At 41.4% G+C, this 20352-nt stretch overlaps 1 protein-coding gene across 2 annotated transcripts in view; it reads right to left on the bottom strand.

The window, feature by feature from the left end:
• Positions 1 to 20352, bottom strand: part of KNL1 (kinetochore scaffold 1) — a 70094-nt gene that overhangs the window by 14841 nt on the left and 34901 nt on the right. For both annotated transcript variants that reach the window (NM_170589.5, NM_144508.5), the window contains 5 exons: positions 20131 to 20229; positions 8475 to 8590; positions 4415 to 4505; positions 3730 to 3846; positions 2428 to 2515 (listed from right to left, as the gene is read on the bottom strand). In NM_170589.5, coding sequence (NP_733468.3) covers positions 2428 to 2515; positions 3730 to 3846; positions 4415 to 4505; positions 8475 to 8590; positions 20131 to 20229 — 511 coding nt within the window. The remainder of the gene's footprint in view (positions 1 to 2427; positions 2516 to 3729; positions 3847 to 4414; positions 4506 to 8474; positions 8591 to 20130; positions 20230 to 20352) is intronic.

The following is a 20352-nucleotide window of genomic DNA, read 5'->3' as shown; positions in this document are numbered from 1 at the left end:
CAAGATGGTGAAACACCATCTCTACTAAAAATACAAAAATTAGCTGGGGGTGGTGGTGCATGCCTGTAATCCCAGCTACTTGGGAGGCTGAGGCACAAGAATTGCTTGAATCCAGGAGGCAGAGGTTGCAGTGAGCAGAGATCATGCCACTGCACTCCAGCCTGGGTGACAGAGAGAGATTCTGTCTCAAAAAAGTGGCAGAACTGCATAAAAATAGCAATGTTTGGTTAGAATTTAAGAGGTGTATGGGAGTAGTAACAAATCATGTAAATCTGAAAACAACTGTAGAAGATATGAAATGTCAAGCTCAGAAGTTTGGACTTTTTTTTTTTCTTTAAGCCAACCACAGAGAAAGTTAAGTTTGGGCCAGGCGCAGTGGCTCACACCCGTAATCCCAGCACTTTGGGAGGCCGAGGCGGGCGGATCACCTGAGGTCGGGAGTTCGAGATCAGCCTGACCAACATGGAGAAACCCCGTCTCTACTAAAAATACAAAAAAAAAAAAATTAGCAGGGCCTGGTGGTGCATGCCTGTAATCCCAGCTACTCGGGAAGCTCAGGCAGGAAAATCGCTTGAATCTGGGAGGCGGAGGTTGCAGTGAGCAGAGATTGTGCCATTGACTCCAGCCTGGGTAACGACAGTGAAATACCATCTCAAAAAAAAAAAAAAAAAAGAAAGTTAAGTTTGGACTTTATAATAAATGGAAAGACAGAAGTTTTTCAGAGGAGTAACATTAATGAAAACTGTCTTTCATAATTATTAATCTGGCAGCAATGTGCAGGTTGGAATGGAAGAAGGTGGAATAATGGTAAGAATGTATAAAGATTAGTTAGAAGACTGAAATAGCACAGTTCAGAATTAAGGTGAGCCTTAATAGGAAAGGAAAATAAACACATGAGATGCTGAAGCTGCCGATGACAGGACTTGTTAAGAGAGCCTCAAAGACAATGAAAGTATTGAGCTTTTACAATGTATAAGAATTGTGACTGCTATACATAAAGATGAGAAACATCATAAGAGAGAACAAGTTTTTGAATTTTATTTTTGAGCTCGGAGAATATATTTAAATTTATTTATTTAGTTTGCTCTGTTGCACAGGCTGGAGTGCAGTGGTGTGATCTTGCCTCACTGTAGTCTTGACCTCCTGGGCTCAAGAGATCTTCCTGCCTCAGCCTCCCAAGTAGCTAGGACTACAGGTATGTGCCATCACGCTGAGCTAATCTCTTGTTTTTTGTAGAGATAGTGCCTCACTCTGTTGCCCAGGCTGTATTCACAGTTTAAGGTGTTTAAGGATATTTTTTGCATACAGGTTCAGAAGGAAGCTAGAAATTGAGTCTAGAATTCAAGAAAGAGAGGCTAAAGATGCCCTCACCTGAAATGATTATAAGCTACCTTTAGGGCAAAATCTGTGTCTTAAATATTTTTATTTATTTTCTGATACTAAGCACAGTATCTGGCATGCAGTATATGCTCAAAAAATGCTTGAGGAATTTAAATTTGGGAATCAGTCACATAATTATTAAGGCACACGAAAGCACTAGGGGAGAGAATATAGAAAAGAACAGATGATAAAATCTAAATCCCCACAAGGGATCAGTTAGAGAAAGAGAGGCCAACAGAGAAGCTGGATTGAGCAGCCAGGAGAAAACAACTGGGTCAAGATAGTGCATTATCACAGAGATTAAGGGAGATGAACATTTCAGGAAGAAAAGAACAGTCATCAGTGTCAAATGCTGAAAGAGGTCAAAATGGCTAAGGACTGAGAAGAACAAAATTTGATGACTATGCAGAATTATGTGATCTTTGAGAAAGGAGTTTCAGGAGAGTAACTCTAAAAAGTTGGGATTATGAAAGACCAAACTGAAAGGATAGACGGTTTTCAAACTGAGATAAATTCATCTATTAAAAAACACAAAATTACAGTCTGGGTTATCTTGAGCAGCTCTTGATTGTATTATGGATGACTATAGTAAAGGAACTTTAATTTGCTCTAATTTATTTATTTATTTATTTTATTATTATTTTTTTTGAGATGGAGTCTCGCTCTGCCACCCAGGCTGGAGTGCAGTGGCGCAATCTTGGCTCACTGCAACCTGCACATCCTGGGTTCAAACTATTCTCCTGCCTCAGCCTCCCGAGTAGCTGGAGTACAGGCGCCCGTCACCACGCCCAGCTAATTTTAAAATTTTTAGTAGAGATGGGGTTTCACCATGTTGGCCAGGCTGGTCTCAAACTCCTGACCTCAGGTGATCCGCCCGGCTTGGCCTCCCAAAGTGCTGGGATTACAGGCGTGAGCCAATTTACTCTAATTTAATATCTCAAGTTGCTAATACAAGTCTTCAATATCGTGGTACCAACATTCTCTACTGTAGGAGAGCATTTAGATAAAATTAAATTTTCTTTTGGAAAAGTATTTAAAATACTTTACCTGTTTCCATCTCAGTGAGGCAGTTATCGATCTTCTTAAGTATTTTATCCATCTCATCTATCTTTATTTGAAGTTTCTCCCTCTCATTCTAAATACAAAAGATTATAGACTGTCAAGTTAAACCTCTAAAGAAAATATTATAAATGGTTCAAACTGCTCACATAATCGCTCTATCATGATCACAAACAGGCAAATCTTTTTTTTTTTTTTTTTTTTTTGAGGCGGAGTCTCATTCTGTTACCCAGGCTGGAGTGCAGTGGCGCCATCTGGGCTCATTGCAAGCTCCGCCTCCCGGGTTCATGCCATTCTCCTGCCTCAGCCTCCTGATTAGCTGGGACTACAGGTGCCTGCCACCATGCCTGGCTAATTTTTTGTATTTTTAGTAGAGATGGGGTTTCACCGTGTTAGCCAGGATGGTCTCGATCTCCCGACCTCGTGATCCGCCCGCCTTGGCCTCCCAAAGTGCTGGGATTACAGGCGTGAGCCACCGCACCCAGCCTACAAACAGGCAAATCTTAAAATGAAGGTCAAAGCTTTAGGTTGGAACTTAAAAAATAAAAGTAAATTTTATTAAAATAAGTTTTAGCCAAAAGAACTCTGGAAAATAAAATGTTTATTTTATAAATTTAATAAAATATTTTATTAAAAGAAAATGAAATAATTTAAAAAGCATATTGACATAAAACTAATTCTGGTACTTTATTTTAGCATTTCTATAGGTGTTCCATGGAATACAATATATTAATATTTATTACTTAAAAACATTTCTATGATAAACTAAACATAGGAAACAGTGGTCAAAAAGAATTACAGCATTTATGCTTAGACTTTAAAAAATTATGTTTCTCTGAAAGGGCATATTGCTTGCAACATTTCCCATACTTACTTGCCAATGGAAAGTTTTTTTATGCAGAGCCTTTTAAAAAAGCTAATCATTTTGGGAAATGCTACTTTAAACACATGTGCATACATATACAGCTTAGTATGGACTATGAAGAAGATAATACTATGGTATAGTCCTTAGCAATGGGAGACCAGAATCCTATGTATTTTATTTCAGTATGTATGATGGATAATAGTATTTGAGATGAGACATAGGCCCACATTAGTAATTATATTCCAGTATTACTCAAGATGTCAGGATTTGCCACTTTTGACAAATTGAACCTTACCTCTTAATTGTTAAGTTTTTGCCCAAGTCTTATTCACATGTCTTCTAAGGAAGATTCTTCATATTCTATAACCATTAGAAAGTAATTTTAATATCTCTCTCTTTCTATGATATTAACTGTCTCAAATTACCTGAGCTGACTGCACCAGCTTGCCATACAGAGCCACTTTTCCTTGGTGAGTGAAGACTTTAGTCATCTTGGTAAAACATGACTTTATTTTGTTAAGATAAATTCCAAAGGCCTTCAGCTGGAAGGGAAAGTTATAGAGAACACTGTACTAAAACAAACGAGTCAGAAGAGGTAAATGGTCTAGGAAGGCTAGGCTTTGCCTATCCTAAGGCAGGATATTTGTCATTTGCAAATTTAATTCCATGTAATTGTCTAAGACCAGAAAAAAGATTTCAGTTTTGATTCCTGCCTTTAATTCACTTATTCATATTATAAATTAGAAAATGACAGGCTCTTAGTTAATGAAACTTTTTAATATATTAGGGCACATATAAAATGGGTTGCTTGCTATTTAATCAATTAAAGTAAATCTTTTCTTCGTCTAAATCTAAGTGAAAGGCAAATAGCAAGGAGGGAACTCTAAATAAACTTCAACTATATTTCATATATTAAATTGATCATCTCAGGTTTGAAAAGATTATATATTAACAATTGTGTGTAATTAAATAAGACCTTGGTACCACATTACACTTAAAAAATAAGTTAAATAACTCATCACTATGACCAAGTAACAGTTACTCATTTCACAATAAACATCGTTCAGAATGTCTTCACTGATTCTCATTCAGAAAATGAGACAAAAGTACCTCTTTGTCAGAGCAGTGTCTCATTTTTTCCCACAGGTTCTTATTTATATCAACCAACAGCTTATCTTGGTTCGATGCAGAAAGCTTTAATCTAAAATACGGAAAAGTTAATTAGCACTGTAGGGAAAAGAAAGAGATCAGACTGTTACTGTGTCTATGTAGAAAGGAAAGACGTAAGAGACTCCATTTGGAAAAAGACCTGTACTTTGAACAACTGTTTTGCTGAGATGTTGTTAATTTGTAGCTTTGCCCCAACCACTTTGCCCCAGCCACTTTGACCCAACCTGAAGCTCACAAAAACATGTGTTGTATGAAATCAAAGTTTAAGGGATCTAGGGCTGTGCAGGACGTGCCTTGTTGACAAAATGTTTACAAGCAGTATACTTGGTAAAAGTCATCGCTATTCTCTAGTCTCAATAAACCAGGGGCACAATGCACTGCGGAAAGCCGCAGGGACCTCTGCCCTTGAAAGCGGGGTATTGTCCAAGGTTTCTCCCCATGTGATAGTCTGAAATATGGCCTCGTGGGATGAGAAAGACCTGACTGTCCCCCAGCCCGACACCCGTAAATGGTCTGTGCTGAGGTGGATTAGTAAAAGACGAAAGCCTCTTGCAGTTGAGATAGAGGAAGGCCACTGTCTCCTGCCTGCCCATGGGAACTGAATGTCTTTGTATAAAACTCGATTGTACATTTGTTCGATTCTGAGATAGGAGAAAAACCGCCCTATGGTGGGAGGCGAGACATGTTTGCAGCAATGCTGCCTTGTTATTCTTTACTCCACTGAGATGTTTGAGTGGAGAGAAACATAAATCTGGCTTAGGTGTACATCCAGTCACCATACCTTCTCTTAAACTTAACTATGACGTAGATTCTATTGCTTACATGTTTTTGTCCTTATTATCACCCTGCTCTCCTACTACATTCCTTCTTGCTGAAATAATGAAGATAATAATCAATAAAAACTGAGGGAACTCAGAGACCGGTGCCAGTGCAGGTCCTTGGTATGCTGAGAGCCGGTCCCCTGGGCCCACTGTTGTTTCTCTATACTTTGTCTCTGTGTCTTATTTCTTTTCTCAGTCTCTCGTCCCATCCGACTAGAAATACCCACAAGTGTGGAGGGGCAGGCCACCTCTTCAAGCGTAGGGTTCAGAAGCCAGCTTGAATGAACCAGCTCAGGTCTACAATCATGTTTAATTTAACTCTTCCTAGTTTTTTTCTACATAATAAGAGGGGAATTCATTCAAGAAAAGCCTGATTATTCACTTGAAGAATAGTAGTTCAAGAATGTCATACATCAAAAAAACTTCTATCACTAACAGAATTCTCATCTCAACGTACCAACTTGTTCCAATGTGAAACATTTCGCTTATAAAGAATCCTAAGGTCTGTCAATGATCGCTGCTATAAAGTTGTAGCTATTATTATTTTATTTTTTTGAGACGGAGTCTCACCCTGTTGCCAGGCTGCCAGGCTGGAGTGCAGTGGCGCAATCTTGGCTCACTGCAATCTCCACCTTCTGGGTTCAAGCAATTCTCTTGCCTTAGCCTCCCGAGTAGCTAGGACTACAGGCGCGTGCCACCACGCCCAGCTAATTTTTTTATGTATTATTTTAATAAAAGTTCCCGGCCAGGCGCGGTGGTTCACGCCTGTAATCCCAGGACTTTGGGAGGCTAAGGCAGGTGGATCACGGGGGTCAGGAGATCGAGACCATCCTGGCTAATACGGTGAAACCTCGTCTCTATTAAAAATAGAAAAAATTAGCCAGGCATGGTGGCGGGTGCCTGTAGTAGTAGAGGTTGAGGCAGGAGAATGGCGTCAACCCAGGAGGCAGAGTTCTCAGTAAGCCGAGATCGCGCCTGGGTGACAGAGTGAGGCTCTGTCTCAAAAATAAAAATAAAAAATAAAATAAAAGTTTCCAATTCAGTTCAAAGGCATATTTCACATTTTTAGAATAGCATCTATAAAAGCAGCAAAGTTATGATAGTCTCAATATATATTAGTCTTTTGTTAATAAATGGAGAAAATAAATTTCTAACAGAGATAGAATATCTCTTGTAGAGGATATATGCAGGCATACAGATGCAAAATCAAACAGTAAAGCACAACTAAACCTACCGCTCATTGAGTGTAAGATCCCGTTTCATTCAAAATAAACATTCTCAGCTGGTGTGGTGGTTCACGCCTGTAATCCCAGCACTTTGGGAGGCCGAGGTGGGTAGATCACTTGAGGTCAGGAGTTCAGGACCAGCCTGGCCAACATGGTGAAACCCCATCTCTACTAAAAATACAAAAATTAGCCTGGCATGTTGGTGGGCACCTGTAATCCCAGCTACCCAGGAGGCTGAGGCAAGAGAATCGCTTGAACCCAGGATGCAGCGCTTGCAGTGAGCCGAGATGGCGCTACTGCACTCCAGCCTGGGCAACAGAGCGAGACTCTGTCTCATTAAAATAAACAAAGAAACAAACAAACAAACATTCTCAGGGAAATCCTGACACAGCCAACTCTTTCCAACAACATGAAGATACAAAATTTGCCAGTTTTGTTCAGCGATGAACCCCAGTGCATAGTATAGTACCTGGCAGATGTAGGTGCTCAATAAATATTTGTTAAATGAACAGAATCAGGAAAATCTGAAATATCTTAAATTTCTGATTTTAAAACTACGTAATTCTTTTTTTTTTTTTTGAGACAGAGTCTCGCTCTTTGGCCCAAGCTGCTGGAGTGCAGTGGTGCGATCTCAGCTCACTGCAAGCTCCACCTCCTGGGTTCGCGCCATTCTCCCGCCTCAGCCTCCCGAGTAGCTGGGACTACAAGTGCCTGCTACCGCGCCCGGCTAATTTTTCGTATTTTTAGTAGCGACGGGGTTTCACTGTGTTAGCCAGGATGGTCTCGATCTCCTGACCTCGTGATCCACCTGCCTCAGCCTCCCAAAGTGCTGGGATTACAGGCGTGAGCCACTGCGCCCAGCCAAAACTACATAATTCTTTTGAAAAATTTTTAATATTCTTTTCCTTCTACTTCTAAAACCCAGATAATTCTTAAAGACTATTTTATTTCTTTTCTGTTAGATTGGTTCAAATTTAGTTGGATAGTCCCAGATAAGTATGACATAAACATTACTTTGAGTTTTAAAGTCTGATTTACCTAAGGGAATCTAGATGTATCTAATTTGTAAATCAGTCTGCAGTATTTACGTATACCATAGCAATGAGCTATCTTCTACGTAAAACCATGTTCTTTTATATATGTAAACAAGCGTAAATGTGGTAAAATTATAAACTCAAAGGCAATCTGATTTCAGGCACTATATATAGATTGAGTATCCCTTATCTGAAATGCTTGGGACCAGAAGTGTTTTGGATTTTGGACTATTTGGATATAAGAGATACCTTGCGGGTGAAACCCAAGCCTAAACGTGAAATTCATTTATGTTTCATATATACCTTGTACACATAGTTTGAGGGTAATTTTATACAATATTTTAAACAATTTTGTGCATGAAACAAAGTTTGTGTAAAGTACTTACGTATTTATGTGTGGAATTTTCCACTTGCATCATGTTGGTGGCTAAAACATTTTGGATTTTGGAGCATTTCAGATTTCCGATTTCCAGATTAAGGTTACTCAACTTGCGTAAATCTCTAAAGGATATTTTCTTTTGAAGGTGTTCTCTAGCAATCAACTTATGATATCATAATCTAAAAATTACTGTTTATTCTTATTAAGGACCTACCTTTTCCTAAGAATGGTATGAAAACAATTTATATACGCCATTTCTATTGTTCATATCTATTGGCTGAGTAGGTTTTATTATCCTCACTTTAAGGATTTGGAAATGAAGGTTAAATGACTTACCCAAGGTTACACAGCTAGTGTTGAAGCCAAGACTGAGCTTCAATCTGACTACGAGGCCAAAGCTCTTTCTCCCACATCACACTGCCAATTAATGCCATCAATTTTACCCCATGCCAGCATTATTCTAATCAAAACCTTACCACACAAACTATTAACTGATCCCTCCCCTCAAAAAAACACACATAAAAATTAAAGCTTTCATACTCTTCAATCTTTTGGCGACGAGCCTCACAATCTTCTCTATAAATCTGTATCTTGGGTCGGTAAACATATTGACTTAACATCAGGTCTTCTGGAGTAGGTGGTGTGTTTACAGTAAACTGGAAAAAAAAATTCAGTCCCTGAGAACTGGTATCTTGCAGACAAAACCATATATAAGAATTAACTCAAATTTCAGAGTGCCTATTTTAAAATGTTCTACAAAGAAAAATTTGAATACTCAAGTTCATAATGCCAGTAAACAAAAAATTGGAATCTGAATTCAAGTCTCTGACTTCTAAGTCCCTTTCCCCATAGATTTTACTGGAACTGTGGTTGTTCTTACTCACATGGGAATGACAGTAGTTTGAAAATGGCTATGCGTTAAGAAAATAAATATTACCTAAAAATTCAACTTACCAGGAACCCCTTTTTAATTTTTTTTTTTAAGCCAGTTTCCTAGTAACTATTCCCATTTTCTAGCCATAATCCTTACTCTATCCCAGGCTGAACTCAAACTTTTCTGGCACATCCTCCAATTATAAAATAAGGCAGTGAAAATTTGGTTATTTAAAAATGTTTTATAGAACTAATCCAATGGCTTTGATGTCCTTGATGCAGTATTGAAAAAATCAAGTCAGGGCCGGGCACAGTGGATCACACCTGTAATCCCAGCACTTTGGGAGGTGGCAGGCAGATCACTTGAGGTCAGGAGTTTGAGACCAGCCTGGCCAATAGGTGAAACCCTGTCTCTATTAAAAATTCAAAAATTAGCTGGGCATGGTGGCGCACACCTGTAGTCCCAGCTACTCCAGAAGCTGAAGCAGGAGAATTACTTGAGCCCAGGAGGTGTAGGCTGCAGTGAGCCGAGATTGCGCCACTGCACTCCAGCCTGGGCAACAGAGCAGGACTCCGTCTCAAAAAAAAAAAAAAAAGAAAAGAAAAAAAGAAAAAAAAGAAAAGAAAAGAAAAAAATCAAGTCAGCTCCTTATTTACAAAAATCAAACAAAACCCTACAACTGAATCTCCAACTCCTAGGCTCAAGCGATCTTCCTGCCTCATCCTCTCCAGTAGCTAGTACTACAGATGTGTCACCACGCCTGGCTAATTTTAAAATTTTTTGTAGAGATGGGGTCTTGCTATGTTGCCCCGGATAGTTTCGAATTCCTGGCCTCAAGTGATTCTCCTGCCTCAACCTCCCAAAGCACTGGGATTATAGATGTGAGCCACTGTCTCCAGCTATGACTAGCCTTTTTTTTTTTGAGATGGGGTCTAGCTGTCACCTAGGCTGCAATGTAATGGTGTGATCACGGCTCACTGCAGCCTCAGCCTCCCAGGATCAAGCAGTCCCCCAACCTCAGCCTGCCAATTAGCTGGGACTACAGGTGCATGTGAGCCACCATGCTTGGCTAATTAAAAAAAATTTTTTTTTTCCTTTTTTTTTTTTTGAGATGAAGTTTTGCTCTTGTTGCCCAGGCTGGAGTGAAGTGGCGTGATCTCAGCTCATTGCAACCTCCACCTCGTGGCTTCAAGCGATTCTCCTGCCTCAGCCTCCACAGTAGCTGGGATTACAGGTGTGTGCCACCACGCCCGGCTACTTTTGTATCTTTAGTAGATATGGGGTTTCACCATGTTGGCCAGGCTGGTCTCGAACTCCTGGCCTCAGGTGATCTGCCCACCTCGGCTTCCCAAAGTGCTGGGATTACAGACATGAGCCATCGTGCCCGGCCAAAATTTTTTTTTTTAGTTATGGGGTTTTGCTACGTTGCCCAGGCTGGTCTCAAACTCCCAGATCAAGTGATCCTCTTCCTCTGGTCTCCCAAAGTGCTGGGATTATGAGCATGAGCCACTGCACCCAGCCAAAAAAAAAAAAAGGATTTTTAAGGCTAGAATTATACATAAAAATCAAAACTATATGTACTGGTTAAAAAAGAAATGGCAGGCTGGGTGCAGAGGCTCATGCCTGTAATCCCAGCACTTTGGGAGGCCAGGGCAGGCGGATCACCTGAGTTTGGGAGTTGGTGACCAGCCTGACCAACAATACAAAATACAAAATTAGCCGGGTGTGGTGGCGCATGCCTGTAATCCCAGCTACTCAGGAGGCTGAGGCAGGAGAATCACTTGAAATCGGGAGGCGGAGGTTGCAGTGAGCAGAGACAGTGCCATTGCACTCCAGCCTGTGCAACAAGAGCGAAACTGCGTCTCAAAAAAAAAAAAGAAAGAAAGAAAAAAAAGAAATGGCAGCCAGCGCGGTGGCTCACGCCTGTAATCCCAACACTTTGGGAGGCCAAGGCAGGCGGATCACCTGAGATCAGGAGCTGAAGACAAGCCTGGCCCACCTGGAGAAACCCCATCTCTACTAAAAAATACAAAAATTAGCCGGGCGTGGTGGTGGGCACCCGTAATCCCAGCTACTTGGGGGGCTGAGGCGAGAAAATCACTTGAACCCGGGAGGCGGAGGTTGCAGTGAGCCGAGATCGCACCATTGCACTCCAGACTAGGTGACAGAGCAAGACTCCATCTCAAAAAAAAAAGAAAGAAAAGAAAAAGAAATGGCAGACCTGGGCACAGTGGCTCATGCTGTAATCCCAGGAGGTTGAGGCAGGAGGATCACTTGAGACCAGCCTGAGAAACAAAGCAAGAGCTTGTCTTTAAAACAGTTTTTAAACTTTAGCTGGGCATGGTGAGGAAGTGAGACCCCATCTCTAAATAATGACAACACTAGAACCCAGCTTATGTTATCCTATCCTTCCCTTCCCTTCCTTCCCCCTCCCCCTCCCCCCTCCCTTCCCCTCCCCTCCCTTCCCTTCCTTTCCTCCCTCCCTCTCTCTCTCTTTCTTTCTTTTGAGATAGAGTCTCACTCTGTCATCCAGGCTGGAGTGCAGTGGCGTGATCTTGGCTCACTGTAACCTCTGCCTCCTGGGTTCAAGGTTCAAGCAATTCTCCTGCCTCAGTCTCCCGAGTAGCTGGGACTACAGGCATATGCTGCCAGGCCCGGCTGATTTTTTTTGTATTTTTAGTAGAGAGAGGGTTTCACCGTGTTGCCCAGGCTGGTCTTGAACTCCTGAGCTCAGGCAATCTGCCTGCCTTGGCTTCCCAAAGTGCTGGGATTACAGGTGTGAGCCACCATGCCCAGCTAAGTATTTTGGATTTTTTTTTTCAGATTTTTGGAATATTTGCATATACATAATGACATATCTTGGGGATGGAACCTGTTTATACATGAAATAAATTTATGTTTCATATATATCTTATACTCATAGCCTGACAGTAATTTCATATAATATTTTAAATAATCTGCATGAAACAAAGCTTATATATATTGAACCATCATAAAGCAAAGGTATCACTACCTTGGCCACCCATGTGGACTATCTGTGGCTGTTCAGCATCACCACCATTCCTGACTCACAGTACATTTTAACAGCAACCCATTACATGAGGTCAGGTGTGAAATTTTCCATTTGTGGTGTCACGTCAGCACTCAAACATTTTGGGTTTTAAGGCATTTCAGATTTGTGGTTTTTTGGATTAGGGATGCTCAACCTGGAGTATATCACTTCTTTACAACCTCTAATGAATTAATGGCTGCATACACGTCATCACCAGACATTATCTATTTCCTAATGGAATTACAACGGTAAAGTAAACTTAAAAAAAAAAAACGCTGTTAATCTAATCAAGCCTATATTAATTTACAAAAAAAAAAAGGGCAGAGAAATATTTGGGCATGCACAATTAGCAACATCTGGACTGTGGTAAACTCTACAGAAAAACCTGGTTTCTTCATTAAAAGGAAGGAAGGAAAGAAAAAAAGTGAAGATTAAAAAAATTTTTTAAATACCAAAAAAAAAAAAAGAAAGAAAAAAGAAAAAGAGAGATGGAAAAGGACCTTATAGATTATAAGACTAGAGAGAGATTTCAACTAATCGGCAATGTTTGAATCTCATTTGGATCCCAAGAAAACAAACTGGGGAAAAAAAAAAGGCATAAGACGATCAGGGAAATGTAAACACTGACTGAATAATTAACCATTTTATGGTATGATTATATTGGATATGTTTTTAAAATAAGAGTCTTCACCTTTTTAGGGAATACATATTGAAATACTTATAGATTGATGATGCTTGGAATTTGCTTCACAATAATGCGGGGGAGGGGAAATGGAGGGTTAGGTAGAGAAAAAACAAGAGTTGATAATTTTGAGACAAGCTCTCACTCTGTTGCTCAGGCTGGAGTGCAGTGGCGCGATGTCAGCTCATGCAGCCTCCATCTCCCGGGTTCAAGTGATTCTCCCACTTCAGCCTCGCGAGTAGCTGGGACTACAGGCATGCACCACCACTCTCAGCTAATTTTAGTATTTTTTTGGTAGAGGGGGGGTTTCACCATGTTGGCCAGGCTGGTCTTGAACTCCTGACCTCAAGTGATCCTCCTGCCTAGGCCTCCCAAAGTACTGGGATTACAGGTATGAGCCATAGCACCAAGACTAGAGTTGATAATTTTTGAAGTTGGGTGACAGACACACAGGGGGTTAATAAAACTATTCTCTATTTTCTGATATGTTTGAAATTTTCTATAATACTAAAATTGTTTTAAAAAGGTTTCATCATAAACTTTCATAACACATAAAGTGAAGCACAAGACCACATTCCCAGAGATCTGCCAGGAAGAAAAGTGCCAGTGAATATTAGGCTCATGCACAGCAAGCACATATTGAATGCAGTTGCCTATGCTGTATGCAGTGGGTAGATTAATTGCTGCACCTTGAATTCAGCACCATGTGTAAAGCCACCCTCCTCTCCTGGACTTACTATGATTAAGTAGTGTCCAACTTATACATAATCAGCACCTGAGAACTTCAAGCCTAGCAGGAGCACTTGCAATAATTTCTCAACCAGCTGGGTGCGGTGGCTCACGCCTGTAATCCCAGCACTTTGGGAGGCCGAGGCAGGCAGATCACCAGAGGTCAGGAGTTCGAGACCAGCCTGGTCAACATGGCGAAATCCCATGTCTACTAAAAATACAAAAATTAGCCAGGCATGGTGGTAGGTGCCTGCAATCCCCAGCTACTGGGGAGGCTGAAGCAGGGAGAATCACTTGAACCCGGGAAGTGCACTCCAGCCTGGGTGACAGAGCGAGACTCCGTCTCAAAAAAATACAAAAAACAAAAACAGATCCTCACCCTTACTAGGAGATGTGAGTTCTAGTGCTTTGGCCTGAGTCACTACATGAGCATGCAGGGGGTCATGGGCCTCTACAATAGCACCTTCTGCTAGTGCCGCCAACTGAGTTCCTGCAACTGTACGTATATATGGGAGGTGTGTACATGTCTATGAGGGCTGGCACACATCTCTCCCCCTGCCTCAAGAATACATTCCCCAGGTGGGTGTGGTGGCTTACACCTATAATCCCAGCACTTTGGGAAGCTGAGGCGGGCGGATCATCTGAGGTCAGGAGTTTGAGACCAGCCTGACCAACACGGGGAAACCCTGCCTCTACTAAAAATACAAAATTAGCCAGGCGTGGTGGTGTATGCCTGTAATCCTAGCTACTTGGGAGGCTGAGGCAGGAGAATCGCTTGAACCTGGGAGGCGGAGGTTGCGGTAAGCTGAGATCATGCCACCGCACTCCAGCCTGGGCAAGAAGAGTGAAATTCCATCTCAAAAAACAAATCCTGAAACAGGCCGGGCATGGTGGCTCAAGCCTGTAATCCCAGCACTTTGGGAGGCTGAGGTGGGCAGATCACGAGGTCAGGAGATCGAGACCATCCTGGCTAACACAGTGAAACCCTGTCTCTACTAAAAAAAAATACAAAAAATTAGTCGGGCATGGTGGCAGGTGCCTGTAGTCCCAGCTACTCGGGAGGCTGAGGCAGGAGAATGGCATGAACCCAGGAGGTGGAGGTTGCAGTGAGCCGAGATCGTGCCACTGCACTCCAGCCTGGATGACAAAGCGAAACTCCATCTCAAAAAAAAAAAAAAAATCCTGAAACAGATGCCCACAGCCACGAACCTCATTTTCCATGGTCCACATATAATCCATCTCTTTGGCCTTTTCCTATTTTGGGATTTTCAACTTCTTTCCCGAAGTACCCTGAACTCTTTCCATTTTGATAGGTTTGTTCCCAGATATATTTTCCTATCACTACCCCTCCTGACTTCAGCAAGACCTGGGAGGAAAGGGGAAGATTCATAACATCAATTTGTCAAGGATCAATTCCTAAAGCATCCTCTCCCTCCTTCACCCTGCCAATATCCTCCCTGTTCCTATCCTTCCCCTCTGCTCTCCTCTGTTTGGTCTTGGTCTCCTAATACTCTTTCTACTTTCCCTTTATAAGAAAAGTAGAAAGAGTATCAGCCCCTGGATGCACACCTAAGCTCCTTTCTCCTCCCTATCTATAGCTGAGGCAAGAGGATTCTACTGGCAGCTATCATGGTAATGAGGCTGAGGCCCAAAAGAGTTGTGTGCCCATCTTCCCAATTTCTATCCTTGATTTACCTTTCACATTCAAATATATAATTCTCCAGTAATTGATTTGTTTCTAAACAGCTTTATGGAGATATAATCCACACACAATGCAATCCATCCATTTAAGTATACAATTAAACGAATTTTAAAGTATATTCACGCACCAGGCGTGGTGGCTCATGCCTGTAATCCCAGCACTTTGGGAGGCTGAGGTGGGCGGGTCACGAGGTCAAGAGTTCGAGACCAGCCTGGCCAAAAGGGTGAAACCCTGTCTTTACTAAGAATACAAAAATTGGCCAGGTGTGGTGGCATGTGCCTGTAATCCCAGGTATTTGGGAGGCTGAGGCAGAAGAATCGCTTGAACCTGGGAGTCGGAGGTTGCAGTGAGCCAAGATCATGCCACTGCACTCCAGCCTGGGCAGTAAGAGAGAAACTCCATCTCAAAACAAACAAACAAACAAACAACAACAACAACAACAAAAACCTAAAATACAAACACACACATTAGCCTAGGCCTACACAGGGTCAAGATCATTAATATCACTGTCTTCCACCTCCACTTCTTGTCCTACTGGAAGGTCTTGAGAAATAATAACACCCATGGAGCTATCATCTCCTATGATAACAATGCCTTCTTTTGGAATAACTCCTGAAGGACTTGCCTGAGGCTGTTTTACAGTTAACTTGTTTTATTTATAAGTTGGAATATACTCTAAAATAACGATAAGGGCTGGGCATGGTGGCTTGCACCTGCAATCCCAGCACTTTGAGAGGCAAAATAGGATTGCTTGAGGCCAGGAATTTGAGACCAAGCCTGGTCAACATACCGAGACCCCATCTCTAAGAAATATTTAAAAATTAGCCAGGTGTGGTGGCTTGTGCATATAATCCTAGCTACTTGGGAGGCTGAGGCAAGAGAATCCCTTGAGCACAGGAGGTTGAAGCTGCAGTGAGCCAAGGTCACTGCACTCTGGCCTGGGTGACAAAGTGAGATTCTGGTTCAAAAAAATAAAATAACAATAAAGAGTATAGTATAGTAAATACATAAGACAGCAACCTAATGGTCTGTTATCATTATCAAGTATTATGTTACTGTACATAATTATATGTACTACCCTTTAACAGGAATGGCAGCGCAGGTTTGTTTACATTAGCATCACCACAAACATGTGAGTAATGTGTTGTGCTACATTACAATGTCACTAGGCAATAGGAATTTTCCAGCTCCATTACAATTTTTTTTTTTTTTTTTTTTGAGACAGAGTTTCGCTCTGTCGCCCAGGCTGGAGCGCAGTGGCGTGACCTCAGCTCACTGCAGCCTCCGCCTCCTGGGTTCAAGCGATTCAGTAGCTGGGACTCCAGGCACGCGCCATCATGCCTGGCTAACTTTTGTAATTTTTGTAGAGATGCGGTTTCACCATGTTGGCCAGGCTGGTCTCAAACTCCTGGCCTCAAATGACCCACCTGCCTTGGCCTCCCAAAGCACTGGAATTATAGGTGTGAGCCACGATGCCTGGCCTCCATAAAAATCCTATGGGACCCCCTGTGTATATGTGGTCCGTTGTTAACCAAAACGTCCTTACGCAGTACATGACTGTTCTTTGGAAAAATATCTTTTCAGATCCTTTGATCATTTTTAAATTGGGTCGTATTTTATTTATTTATTTAAATAGAGACAGAGTCTCACTATGTTTTATTTATTTATTTAAATAGAGATGGGGTCTCACTATGTTGCCCAGGCTGGTCTCAAACTCCTGAGCTCAAGCAATCCTCTAGTCTAGGCCCCTCAAAGTGCTAAGATTACAGGCATGAGCTACCAAGCCAGGCCTAAATTGGATTGTATTTTTATTATTGAGTTGTAAGAGTTCTTTATATATTTTGGATAAAGCTTCTTATCAGATGTATGATTTCAACTGTTTTCTCACATTCTGTGGGTTGCCTTTTCACTTTCTTCGTTTTTTTTTGAGACAGGGTCCGGCTCTATCTCCAAGGCTGGAGTGCAGTGGTACAATCTTGGCTCCTTGCAAGTTCTGCCTGTTGGGCTCAAGTCATACTCCCACTTCAGCCTCCCGAGTAGCTGGGACTACAGGCACATGCTACCAGGCCTGGCTAATTATTTCATTTTGTACAGGATTTCACCTGTTGCCTGGTCTGGTCTCAAATTCCTAGGGTCAAGCAATCCTCCTGCCTCTGCCTCCCAAAGTGTTGGGATTACAGATGTGAGCCATGGCACCCAACAAAAAATTATTTTAGTCTCTTTTAATCTATGAGTACGTTTTCTTTCTTAATCTTCTATATTTTAGCTTTCTCTTTTTTCATTCACTTATTTAATTAAAAGATGTGGGTGGGGGGGGGTCTCGCTATGTTGCCCAGGCTGGTCTTGAACTCTTGGTTTCAAGTGATCTTCCCTCCTCAGCCTCCCACATAGCTAGAATTACAGACACCAGCCACTGTGCGCAGCTGCTTATTTCTTCTTAATTAGACTCTTCAGGAGTTTTCTTATTTTATTGTCTTTTCAAAGTATAGCTTTTGGATTTATTCTTTTTTTTTTTTTTTTGAGATAGGGTCTTGTTCTGTTGACCAGGCTGGAGGGCAGTGGTACAATCATAGCTCACTGCAGCCTTGAACCCCTGGGCTCAAGAGATCCTCCCATGACAGCCTCCTGAGTAGTTGGGACCACAGGCACAGGCCACTACACTTGGCTAATTTTAAAATTTTCTGTAGAAACAGGGTCTCCCTATTTTCCCGAGGCTGGTCTCAAACTCCTGAGCTCAAGCATTCCTCTCGCCTTGGTCTCTCAAAGTGCTGAAATTACAGGTGTGAGCCACCATGCCTGGCCTGGATTTATCCTCTCCAACAATTTTTGTTTTCTATTTCATTAGCTCTACTTTTTACCTATATTAATTCTATCTTCCTATCTTTTTTGTGGATATTATGAGTATTAATATCTTGGCTGGGCACGGTGGCTCATGCCTGTAATCCTAGCACTTTAGGAGGCCAAGGTGGGTGGACTGCTTAAGCCCAGGAGCTCAAGACCAGTCTGGGCAACATAGCAAGATCTCGTCTCTAAAAATAAAAAATAAATAAATAAAAATTTCTTTAATTTTAGACTCCACGACAACAAAGATATCTAAGGCTTTTAATTCCTGCTAAGTATAGCTTTTGCTGTATGTCCCACAGACTAGCCATTAAATATTCTCCTTTACTAAGAAATATTTTCGACTTCTTTGATCTAGGAGTTATCTAGAAGTGTTTCCTGTTTTTTTTTTACCCAACTATGTTGTCTACAACAGCAGTCCCCAACCTTTTTGGCACCAGGGACCAGTTTCATGGAAGACAATTCCTCCAAGGACCAGGAAGAGGGGATAGTCTCAGGATGATTCAAGCACATTTATTGTGAACTTCCTTGTTTTTATTTTATTTTTATTTATTTTTATTTTTATTTTTTGAGACAGGGTCCGGCTCTGTTGCCTAGGCTGGAGTGCAGTGGTGCAATCTTGGCTTAATGCAACCTTCACTTCCTGGGCTCAAGCCATCCTCCCACCTCAGCCTCCTGAGTAGCGGGGACTACAGGTGTGTGCCACCATGCCCAGCTAATTTTTGTATTGTTTTAGAGACGGGTTCAGCCATGTTGGCCAGACTGGTCTTGAACTCCTAAGCTCAGGCGATCTGTCTGCCTGGGCCTCCCAAAGTGCTGGGATTACAAGTGTGAGCCACCATGCCCAGTCTGAACTTTATTTCTATTATTACTACATTGTAATATATAATGAAATAATTATACAACTCATCATAATATAGAATCTGTGGGAGCCCTAAGATGATTTTCTTGCAACTAGAGGGTCCCATCTCGGGGTGGGGAGGCACTGACAGATCATCATGCATTAGATTCTCATAAGGGGTACACAATCTAGATCCTTCATGTGTGCAGTTCACAATAGGGTTCGTGCTTCTGTGAGAACGTAATGCCACTGCTGATCTGAAAGGAGGCAGAGCTCAGTTGGTAATGCAAGCAATGGGAAGTGGCTGTAAATACAGATGAAGCTTTGCTCACTCCACCACCATTCACCTCCTGCTGTTTGGCCCAGTTCCTAACCCCAGGGGTTGGGGATGCTTCATCTACAAGATATTGTGTTTCTTAATTTCTAAGAATCTCAGAATGTTTTGGTTCTTTTATAAGTTCTAATTGTATTGGATCAAGATTAGATGATGTAGTCTCTATAAAACCTCCATTTTAAAAAATTTATTAATGTTTTCTTTGTGGCCAAGAGTATAACTAACTTTTGGAAATGTCTGACAGCCTTAAGACAAAAAACATTCCTATGTAAGGAATATAAGTTTTTCTATTAATCTTTTCAATTGAAAGCGTTGATTGTATTATTCAAATATTCTATGATCTTAAATTTTTTGAGACAGGATACTGATATGTTGCCCAGGCTGGCCTCAAACTCCTGTGTTGAAGTGATTCTTCCACCTCAGCCTCTTGAGTAGCTGTGATTACAGGCACCTGCCACTGTATCCAGTTTACATATTTTTGATTTTGAAAACTGTTCATTAAAAACCTCTGCTACCCTTAGATTTTTATAATGGAGGAAAAAGCCCATGTTAGTTCTGTAATCAGGAAAATGTATCAAAAAAATAGATGGCAAGGAATGAAGGGAAAATTCAAATTTTATCTTATCGAAATCCATGATTAAAAAAATCCATGTGAAAATTTTTGGTTTTTGTTTATGCTAACCACAAATCTCTCTACTATAAGAAAACTCTCGGCCGGGCGCAGTGGCTCACGCTTGTAAACCCAGCACTTTGGGAGGCTGAGGCAAGTGGGTCACGAGGTCAGGAGTTCAAGACCAGCCTGGCCAATATGGTGAAACCCTGTCTCTACAAAAATACAAAAATTAGCCGGGTGTGGTGGCACGCGCCTGTAGTCCCAGCTACTCAGGAGGCTGAGACAAGAGAATCACTTGAACCCAGGAGGCAGAGGTTGCAGTGAGCTGAGATGGCGCCACTGCATTCCAGTTTGGGCAACAGAGCGAGACTCCATCTCAAAAAAAAAAAAAAAAAAAAAAAAAAGAAAAGGCAAAAAAAAAAAAAAAAGAAAACTCTCTATAGGAAAATTTGCTCTCTTCCATTCTTTTTGTGCTTTTAAATAAATGTTTGCTTTGATGCAAACATTTTGCCAAGAAACTGCACTTACATTGCCTGGGAGATTGCTCTGTCGGGGTTTCTGTATCAAGATGTGGACCTGGAGAAGTATAAAGAACTCCCTTATTGTTATTCTCCCATCTTGGAGTTTCTGAGAAAAGAAAAAAAAGTTTGCATGACCATTCAATGTGATTTCACTTTGATATAACCACTTCATTTGTTTCTAAAAGCTTAAGGTATCTTGTATACATTTATGGAAATATTATCCAGATAT

This window comes from Homo sapiens, chromosome 15 (genome assembly GCF_000001405.40).
Source record: "Homo sapiens chromosome 15, GRCh38.p14 Primary Assembly".
NCBI classification, from domain to species: Eukaryota; Metazoa; Chordata; class Mammalia; order Primates; family Hominidae; genus Homo; species Homo sapiens.
Note: the sequence above shows the minus strand (reverse complement) of the source record. Positions and strands in the feature narration are given on the sequence as shown.